Source organism: Homo sapiens, chromosome 13 (genome assembly GCF_000001405.40).
Source record: "Homo sapiens chromosome 13, GRCh38.p14 Primary Assembly".
Taxonomy (NCBI): domain Eukaryota; kingdom Metazoa; phylum Chordata; class Mammalia; order Primates; family Hominidae; genus Homo; species Homo sapiens.
This window is the reverse complement of record NC_000013.11, coordinates 43,924,796-43,936,155: the sequence shown is the minus strand read 5'-3', so window position 1 is coordinate 43,936,155 and position 11,360 is coordinate 43,924,796. Positions and strand designations below refer to the sequence as shown.

At 38.3% G+C, this 11,360-nt stretch overlaps 1 annotated feature.

Moving 5' to 3' along the window:
- Window positions 2,493-2,632: a silencer, noted in NCBI's record as "silent region_5303". NCBI's record gives its function as "represses an Ori minimal core promoter by ATAC-STARR-seq in GM12878 lymphoblastoid cells {active_cell/tissue: GM12878}" and the evidence as "EXISTENCE:reporter gene assay evidence [ECO:0000049][PMID:35858748]".

Below are 11,360 nucleotides of genomic sequence, written 5' to 3'. Positions count from 1 at the left end.
TTTCAGTCTTGATTGGAAGCAGAAATTTTTTTGAAGCACAGATGATTTGTCAGCTGGAAGGCAGAAGGTCTCTTGGGACACACCACAAGAATGTCTTTCCTCCATCCAGGAGTCACACAGTCTTGTCATCATCTCTGCTGCTGCAAACCAGCCAACACGGTTAGATGTACAGACTTGTGAACACTTTCAATTGGATTTTTGAGAAAAAGGTTACCCTCCAAACTGGTCAATTTGTTCCTAAGCTTCAAGCTCTCTCTCCCTTCCCCATCCAAAACACTTCCTTCTTTTTCTGCTTCCACTAGTCTTTATTTCATTATTCTCTCCCTCAGACCCCTCTCTGCCTCTATAAAGATAAGCAATTATTTTAAGCTTCAAACAAGATGCTGACCCTTGGGGGGCCTTCAAATGCAGAAAGTCTGGGAGAAGATGGAGGATTTGCAGATCAACAGCTCCCTAGTTGATACTCTGGGATACTTTGCAGTTAAGACTAAGGGACTGATGCTGATAGTTTTACTACCTATAGAAAAGTGTGCAAGTAAAGAGAACCAAAGCCTCTCCCCTTCTCTTGAGGAATCTGCTTGCTGCTTCCCTTCCTGTTGGCAGACAATTCAATTTTCAGGTGCCCACAAAGAGGCAGAAACATTCTTACTTTATGAATTCTGGTATTTCTTAACTCATACTGTATATGATTCCTGACCAACATTAACAATGGACTGAATTCCCTGGGATTATAATATTCCCTGAATCCCAGGGTATCTGCCTGTCAGATTCTGGTGAGGACCACCTGAGGCTAAATCAGGACGAAGGCATTCATCCTGTGTTATTGCTCCTAATTCTCCATGGTGCTATTCAACTTCTCACTCTGTAATTGGCATACTACCTTCCCAATTTGCCAGGACTGGCGATTTGCCACATTTCAGAAACTACTTTTGTGTATGCCAGATTATACTGAGGTTCCATGTTCATGGGGTTTTTAAAATCTCTTTTAATCCCTTTGATTGATAGATTACTAAAATATTTCAGGGTGGATTTGTTGGGTCTGTTTTCCTGTTGCCTAAATTCAATTTAGTTTAATTTATATATGGAATTATTACTACAGATAAATATAATCTTTAGTAAGAATTCCATAATTCCATATTTAAAGATGCAGGGGGGAACATACAAATTTAAGGCACAGTTTACATTCTAATTGGGTAGATAATTCAAGCACAAAGAGAAACATAATATAGGACAGAGTAAGGTGTTGTGTCCTAACACATAGAAAGTTATTCATTTACTACTATTCTGTCATGTGTTGGCCATCAGGAATGGGATACTTATGAGAAAAAAAGATGAACAACACAAAGAAGGAAAAGGGCTCTATCAAAGATAGATAGATAGTTAGATAGATAGATAGATAGTTCTTACCAAAGATATGACTAACATTGAATTCTGAGAGGGGCCTGTGCTCCTCTAGCCACACCAGAACCCTCTAAATAGTGTTAAATCAATCTGTTTTCAGGGTATAAGGGTGGAAAGCTATTAAATTATTTTTGTAATGGTGAAATTCAAAGAATAGAAGAGACCTCACAGACCACTTGAGCCAACCTTCCAGAAGAGGCTGAATTCCCTCTTTCAACAGAAATCTCCCTGTATCAGTGAGAGCCCTTCCACTAAACAAACCCAAAAGTGATTCATTCACCTCTTATTGACTCAGCAGCTCATTCCCTCTTCAGACAACTCTGTTCAACTTTCTTACACTAAGAGGAAATCTGTTTCCCTAAAATCTACACCAGATGGACATCTAAACCCTTCCAAGAAAGCCCTTGGATGTTTGAAAACAGGTATTGTGACCCACCACCCATCCTGTTGCCTGTCTCATCCCACCACATTTTTCTCTTCTACAACTAAATTCCCTCAATGGATATCCAATTTCCTCAATGGATAGCGCCCTTCACAATTATTTTATTTTGTTAAAATGTAAAAATAATAAGTGACTATTGTAGAAAACACAAAAAATATAAAGAAACAACCCTACAAGTGTGTGATCTAGTTGGAAAGATAAATGTGTGATAAGGATGCTATAAAAGCACAAAGAAAACTGTACGTGGCATAGCCCAGAGGTACGAAAGTGCATGATATTTAGAAAACTGGAGGACCTCATTCTGGGAAATGATCTGTATGAGAGAGGGGTAAAAGATGAAACTAGAGATCTAGATGGGCAGAAACCAAATCACAAAGGACTCTATGTGTTAAGACGTTTTATTTTTCTCCTAAAAGTTGTAGGGATACATGCCATTAATGTGTTTAAGGAAAGGAGAGATAAGATAAAATGTTTGTTTCTGAAAGGCCATTCTGCTGGCAGAGTGAAGAAAGAATTGAAAGGAGCAAGCTAGGATCAAGAAGAGATCAATTAAGAGGTTATTGCAGAGAAAGAAGTGATGAAAAACAGACTGGCAGCAATGTGGGAGTGGGAGAGAGGCATGGAAAAAATATTTAGGTGATAGAGTCATTATGATTGGTGTTCAATCGAAATTTAGAAGTGAAAGGGTCTGGGAACTGAGTGCATGGCAATTTGAGGAACTGAAATACTCAATGTGGCCAGAACAGAGTTCATTTCAGAAAAGTGGTAAGAAATGAGAGTAGAGGTATGATTGGGCCTGGTATAGGCCCTTGAAAGAGGGGTAAAGGAGTTAGAACTTCATACCCAGGACAATATGAAGGCTTCGAAGAATAGTCATCAGAAGAGTGTCCTAAGTAAGAGTTCCATTTTCAAAAACCATTCAGGTTTCAGTGTGGACAATGAATTTTAGGGAAGGGGGTAAGATAGGAGGTAGAGATAAGAGTATTGCAATAATCCATCCACATGAGACAACATGGTAGCCTGGATAAGAATAGTAGGACTGGAGAGTGGTGGATTAGAAATACTTAGAATGAACTCCAACAGGACTTAGTTATTGATATGATTATAACATTATAACATAATACCTCAAGTCTAGTACACATCTACTATGTGCCTGGCACTGTGCTCAGCAGTTGGTAGGGTGAGGTCAGAGAGTAAGAAGCCATGGATAATTCTTAGGATTTTTCTTTGGTCAATACAGGAGGTAAGGGCAGGTTGAAAAGAAAGACAAGAGGTTCTAGTTGATGCAGGAATATCAATGAACAGTGGAACATACATGTCTAAAGTTCAGGAGAGAGATTGGGCTAGATTTGGGAATTATTACCTTAAAGGTGGCAATTAAATAGATGAGAGAAGATGAGGTTCCTGGGAGAATGTGCAGGGTAAGAAGGGACCGTGGTCTAGATTAAAACACTAAATAAAGAACAGAGGAAGTCGGTGACTTTTTCTGTTGACCCAGAATTGGTACTTAAGCCTGTAGCTGACAACTACTGGTTGTAAGTGCCTAACATTATAAACATAAGTATCAATAATCTGTGCTAAATGTTCCTTCTAGGACTTACTAAGAATTTCAGACTTGCCCCTACAATAGTCATCCCTTGAGTAGATTTACCATGAAGCTAATGAAACTTAACCTTTAGGGTCTCTCACTTGCACAGGCTGTTTCTACTGTCTCAATAATATATTTACAAGTCATATGTTGTTATAAAGTTTGAAAAAGTAAAATGCTTTAAATACAACCATTAAGTCTATTCCAACTTCTCTCCATCACACTTTCCTAGAAACATTAGGTATAACAGGTTTTTGAGTTCTTCTAAGAGGATATTGAGTTGGGGACTCATTTAGTTTGGGTTTAGTGGGGTATTTTATGTAATTCATAGTCACTTCCAATGTATAGTTAAGTTACTGCTAGCTGCACTGGTATAGGAGAAATGTTCGTAAAACGCTCACCACACCAATCACTCAGAATTGTGACAAAATAATGCATGGCCAGAGGACATACAGTGATATGAACATTGCACTTGCCACTGGAAATACACAAGTAGCAAAGAAAAACAATATGAAATGCTTGGAACTAGAGGCTAGTCCTTTAGAAAATTCTTCCAAATCTTACAAATCATATATGAAACTAATTTGGTCAAGGTTTTCCCAAATTTGACAAAAATCCTAAAAATGTATCTAACTATTCCTATAATGAGTTGTGAAAAAGTTTATCCTTTGAAGAATCAAAGGGTAAAAGAATACACATCAAAATTATATTAAAGAAATTAATTTAAGGTTGAGCACAGTGGCTCACACCTGTAATCCCAGCATTTTGGGAGGCCGAGGCAGATGGATCATTTGAAGTCAGGAGTTCAAAAGCCTGGACAACATGGTGAAATCCTGTTGCTACTAAAAATACAAAAATTTGCCAGGCAGTAGTGGTGCATGCCTGTAATCCCAGCTACTCAGAAGGCTGAGGCAGGAGAATTGCTTGAGCCTGGGAGGCAGAGGTTGCAGTGAGCCGAGATCACACCACTGTACTCCAGTCTGGGCAACAGAGTGAGACCCTGTCTCAAAAAACAAAGAAAAAAAGGAAAAAAGAAATTAACTTAAAGACATGTCTTTTTTCCAAATTTCTTGTAGTAATTGTCAAGTTTCCAAAATGTGTAATTTAGTATGATCATTAATAAAAAATAAATAGAAAAAGCATAGAGGTATTTGTTTATTTATTGTATTATTTTTGTAGAGAAGGTGTCTTGCTATGTTGCCCAGGCTGGTCTCAAACTCCTGGCCTCAAGTTATCTCCCTGCCTCAGCTTCCCAAAGTGCTGGGATTATAGGCATGAGCCACTGCACCTGGCAAAAAGCATAGATTTAAACTCAACAATCACTAATTATATTAAATGTAATTGATCTAAACACACCAAATAAAAAGCAGAGATTTGTCAGATTGGATAACATCGAAAAATAACTACATGCTGTCTGTAAGAAACCCACTTTAAATTTAAAAAGCAGATGGGTTAAAAGTGAAAGAATGAAAAAAGATCTTCCATACTAACACTCATTAAAAGAAATCTGGAATAGTTTTATTAATATCAGATAAAATGCATTTCAAAGGAAAGAATTAGCTGGAATAAAGAGGGTCATTTTTAATGATAAAGGAAGCAATCCATTAAGAGGACATGACAATTCTAAATGTTTTGGCACCTATTATCAGAGAGCTTCAAAATACATGAAGCAAAAACTGATAATACTGGAAAAAGAAATAAATAAATCCACTGTGAAAATTGAAGATTTCAACACCCTTCTCTCAATAATTGAAAGTGGATGAAAATTCATGAAATACATAGAAGACTCAAACAGCACTATCAACAAACCTGACCTAACTAATCTTTTAGAAGACTACATCCAACATTCACAGAATACAGGTGGTCCCTGACTTAACAATGGTTTGAGTTACAGTTTTTCAACTTTAAGATGGTGCAAAAGCCATATACATTCAGTAGAAACTCTACTTCGAATTTTGAATTTTTATCTTTTCTCAGGCTAGTGATATGTGGTACTATACTCTCTCAATACTGGGCAGCAGCAGCCAGCCAAAGCTCCCAGTCAGTCACAAGATCACAAGAATAAACAATCAATACTCTACAGCATACTCTGTTACCAGATGATTTTCCCAACTGTGGTCATAAGTAAGTGTCCTGAGCACGTTCAAGGTAGGTTAGGTGAATTAAATGCATTTTCAACTTAATATATTTTTAACTCACAATAGGTCTATCGGGACGTAACCCCATCATAAGTTAAGGAGGAACATCTGCACACATTTTTTTTTTTTTAACAAATGCACACGGAACATTTACCAGGTATATTCATTTCTTAGGGACACCATAACAAAATACCATAAACTAGGTGACTTTAAAACAACATAAATGTGTTATCTTCTAGTTCTAAAGGCTAGGAGTCTAAAATCAAGGTATTGGCAAGGTTGGTTTCTTCTGGAGGCCCTGAGGGAAAATCTGCTTCACGCCCTCTCTCCTAGCTTTTGGTGGTTACCAGCAATCCTTGGTGTTCCTTGCTTTGTAGGTGTGTCACTACAATCTCTGCCTCTGCCATCACATGGCATTCTTGCTGTATGTGTCTGTGTCCAAATTTCTCTCTTCTCATAAGAACAACAGTCACTGGATTAGGGTCCACCCTAATCCAGTATGACCTCATCTTAACTTGACTACATCTGCATTTGCAAAGACCTTATTTCCAAGTAAGGTCACATTGATAGGTACAAGGGGTTAGGACTTAAACATATATTTTGAGGGAACACAATTTAACCTGCAAGACCATACATTTAAGAGGATTGAAATAACACATATTCTCTGACCACAGTGAAATTAAATTTAAAAATCAATAACAAAAATGCATTTAGAAAATCTCCAAATATTTGGAAACTAGACAACACTTCTAAATATCCCATGGGTCAAAGAACAAACCATGAGTGAAATTAGAAATTGAGCGGAATGAAAATAAACACTTCTGATTGGCTACAGCGTGGTGTTTGCCTTATTTGAACATGGTTCAAACAGTTGGCTATGTTTGAATGGCTAAAACTCAGTAATTAGCATAAGTGTAGGCTATGGTCTGTTTACACTTCCACTTGTTACAGTACACAGTGAACAGAGAAACCTTTAGAACGAACTTAAAATATGTAAAGAGGCAGCTTTAGGCTAAACTTGATTTAACAACACAATATATTAAAACCTGTTGGATCCAGCTAAGGAGTTTTAGGGACATCAGTGGTTTAAGAGCTTATAGAATAAGATGCTTGTATTTGGAAAGCAGAAGGAAATTAATGATTTAAGTTTGCACCTTAAGAAACTATTAATAGAGAAAGAAGAGAAAAGCCCAAAATAAGCACAAAAAACAATTAAAATAAAAATAGAAATCAATGAAAGAGAACACAAAAAAGCAGTAAAGAAAAACCAATGAAACAAAATAAAAACCCCAGTTCTTTGGGGAAAAAAGTCAATAAAATTAATAAACTCTAGCTACTCAGCTAAAGAAGGCAAAACAAATAAGTTGCCAATATCAGGAATGAGAGAGGAAATATCACTACAGATTCTATAGTCATTAAAAGGAAAATTAGGAGCAACTTTATGCCAATAAATTCTTCAACTTAGATAAAATGAACAAATTCTTTAGAGGACACGAATAACCAAAGCTCACCCCTAAGAAGAATTAGCTAACCTAGATTGCCCCATATCTTTTTTTTTTTTTTTTTTTTTGAGACAATCTTACTCTGTTTCTCAGGCTGGAGTGCAGCAGTACGATCTCAGCTCATTGCATCCTCAACCTCCAGGGCTCAAGACATCCTCCCGCCTCAGCCTCCAGAATAGCTGGGACTATAGGCACATACCACCACACCCAGCTAATTTTTGCATTTTTTTGTAGAGACAGGGTTTCACCATGTTCCCTAGGCTTGTCTCAAACTCCCCATATCTTTTTAAAAAATTGAATTTACAGTTAAATTTCCAAACACATACATCTTTAAGTTATTTTTTAATGTTGATTTATATATTTCAACTTTTTTCTCTAGTTGGTTTTAAAAATCTTTATCTTTCGTGTTCTGTAGTCTCACTATAATGTTATCTGGTATATTTTTTAGCATGGGATCCATTGTGTTTCCCCAGTCTGAGGATTCATGGCTTTCATCAATTCTGGAAATTTCTCAGTCATGCAGTCAGAAGTAGGACTATTCACTCTACATCAGCAGTTTAAGGTTCCCTTTTATGTCTACAGCTGCAGAACATACTTGAGCACACAGCTTTTACCTAGCTCGAATTCCAGTTCCCATAGGCCCTAAATTATTATAACTCTTCTAAATTTAGATAGATTCTTTTTATAAACGACTGGTACCCTGTCTCTAACTTTAATTAGTAGAATATTGAAAAAATACAATCCTGAAGTAGACACATTTTGGAGTATCTGCAGGGTCCATACCCCTTCTTCATATTTGATCTCTCATTCTCAACCCCTGTAGCTCTATTGTATCATAGTACCTTTATTAGTCAGGGTTCTCTAGAGAGATAGAACTAATAGGATATATATATATATATATATATATATATATATATATATATATATATATATATATATATGAGTTTATCAAGGAGTATTGATGCACATGATCACAAGGTGAAGTCCCACAATAGGCCATGTGCAAGCTGAGGAGCAAGGAAGCTAGTCTGAGTCCCAAAATCTCAAAAATAGGGAAGCCAACAGCGTAGCCTTCAGTCTGTGGTGGAAGGCCCAAGAGTCTCAAAGCTGAAGAACTTGGAATCTGATGTTTGAGGGCAGGCAGCATCCAGCACAGGAGAAAGATGTAGGCCAGAAGACTAAATCAATCTAGTCTTTCCACGTTCCTCTGCTGCTTTTATCCTGGCCTCGCTGGCAGCTGATTAGGTGGTGCCCACCCAGATTGAGGGTGGGTCTACCTCTCCTAGTTCACTGACTCAAATGTTAATCTCTTTTGGCAATACCCTCACAGACACACCCAGGAACAATATTTTGCATCCTTCAATCCAATCAAGTTGACAGTATTAACCATCACAGTACCTCTTCTCTCTTAATTAAACGAAACAAAGGTGGGCACCTAGCTCAAATTGAGTTCCCTTTTTTAGAGTTTTAGGCTGAGCATACACGAGAGTAAGTCAGTTTATAGAAGGTAGGAAGAGGAAAAAAAATGTAACCAAGGCCTTTTGAAGGAGGGTCAGTAGGATGAGGATCAGAAACTCATAATTAGTATTGTCCTGAGAACTGACACACTCTTCCTAAAAAATTAGATTCCACAGGATTTTAATCCCCAAAAAACCACCCAGTTTACTTAAGTAAGATAGTTGGTGTGGGGATATTCTGGTTGAACCAGAAAATCAGAGCATTTTAATTTTCTAGTCATAGGCCCTGAATCTAGTCTAGTTTAATTTTCTAGTCATAGGCCCTGAATCTTTGAGTCTGATCTTGGGAGATAAATAAATTTTTACTTTCTTTTATAATTAACCATTTTACAATTAACCATTTGTGATGGTTAATACTGAGGGCCAACTTGATTAGATTGAAGGATGCAAAGTATTGGTCCTGGGTGTGTCTGTGAGGGTGTTGCCAAAGGAGATCAGCAGGCTGGGGAAGACAGACCCACCCTTAATCTGGTGGGCACAATCTAATCAGCTGCCAGCGAATATAAAGTAGGAAGAAAAACATGGAAAGGTAAGACTGGCCTAGCCTCCCAGCCTACATCTTTCTTCCGTGCTGAATGCTTCCTGCCCCCAAACATCAGATTCCAAGTTCTTCAGTTTTGAGACTTGGACTGGCTCTCCTTGTTCCTCAAGTTTGCAGACAGCCTATTGTGAGATCTTGTGATCATGTGCATTCATGCTTAATAAACTACTATATATATATATATATATATATATATATATATATCCTATTAGTCTATTAGTTGTTTTTTTTGTTTGTTTGTTTTTTGTTTTTTTTTTGGGGGGGGGACAGAGTCTCTCTCAGTTGCCCAGGCTGGAGTGCAGTGGCACTATCTTGGCTCATGGCAACCTCCGCCTCCTGAATTCAAGCTATTCTCCTGCCTCAGCCTCCCAGGTAGCTGGGATTACAGGTGTGCACCACCACACTCAGCTAATTTTTGTACATTTATTAGAGACAGGGTTTCACCATGTTGGCCTGGCTGGTCTCAAACTCCTGACCTCAGGTCATCCACCTGCCTTGGCCTCCCAAAGTGTTGGGATTACAGGCATAAGCCATTACACCCAGCTCTATCCTATTAGTTCTGTCTCTCTAGGAAACCCTGACTAATACACCATATTTTATGTGGCACAGTTGTGTCAATTACCAATTAGAGTTCTATATTCGATGCCATAGATATTGGTTTTTTGTTTTTGTTTTGTTTTGTTTGAGATGGAGTCTCACTTTGTCACCCATGCTGGAGTGCAGTGGTGTGATCTCGGCTCACTGCAACCTCCACCTCCCAGGTTCAAGCGATTCTCCTGCCTCAGCCTCCCAAGTAGCTGGGACTCCAAGTGCACGCCACTACACTGGGCTCATTTTTGTATTTTAGTAGAGATGGGGTTTCACCATGTTGGCCAGGCTGATCTCAAACTCCTGACATCAAGTGATCCACTCGTCTCAGCCTCCCAAAGTGCTGGGATTACAGGCATGAGCCACCGCGCCTGGCCTGATCTTGTTTCAGAGGAATTTCTCACAAGATGTCATTAGCAAACTGTCTTATTAGTGGCTGGTATTTTTTAAAAATCAATTCTGTTCTATCAATGTTGTAGCAGAAAGTGGAGGATGGCTCAATGAGAGACTGCTACCTTGACATTCTTTCTTCTATCTTGACATATAGAAGTCTATAGATAGTCTATGACTGTCTTGACATCCTTTCTTCCATTCACTTTTATAAAGCAAAGCTATCAATAATGCTGTCTGATTATCTGAACTCTGACTTTTCCACTGTCATAAATAAGCTTTTCTAAAATAAATTTCTTAACAAAAAATTTCTAGCTTCACAGATTTCAAGAACATTCCTCCAAACCTATACACAATCTCACAATGTCTTTAATCACTTTAACTCACCCATTAGTAAAATGATTATTTTGAATCAGTTCTCTATCTATAATGCTTTTCATTATATATATACATATATATATATTTTTTGAGATGGCATCTTGCTCTTGTTGCCCAGCCTGGAGTGCAGTGGCACGATCTCGGCTCACTGCAACCTCTACCTACTGGGTTCAAGTGACTCTCCTGACTCAGCCTCCCGAGGAGCTGGGACTACAGGCACGCACCACCATGCCCAGCTAATTTTGTATTTTTGGTAGAGACAGGGTTTCTCCATGTTGGTCAGGCTGGTCTCAAACTCCTGACCTCAGGTGATCCGCCTTCCTCGGCCTCCCAAAGTGTTGTGATTACAGGTGTGAGCCACTGCACCCGGCCTTTGTTATATTTTTATAACAAAATCTAGCTCCCTCTTCCAGAATAAATGCCCCTGGAAAAGTCTCAGTTATAGCCTCATACTTATAAGTATGTGACTAGCATGGGCAAAAGCATTAGAATGTTTCACTCAGAGAATTCACTAGAAGACGAATCACATATACTCCTTTTTCCTCCTTTGAACAGCTAGTGGTCAAAAGTTCTAGAGTGCAGCTTAGGGCCATTCCTGGCTTGATTTGCTCAGTGACCACAAGAATAGTTTCACTACCTGTTCTTTAGTCTCAACAAGCAGAAATAATAATTCCACTTCCTTTATGGGCAAGAGTATTAACATGAATGTGTTGGTAAAACAATTTGATGTTTCAAATGATCAAAAAGAGAGGAAGAGTCAAACTGTGAGTACTGGAAGGAAAAGTAAGGTGATATACCCTGAATATTTGTTCCCTCCAAATCTCATGTCAAAGTTTGATCCCCAGTGGTGGAGGTGGTGCCTGGTAGGAGGCATT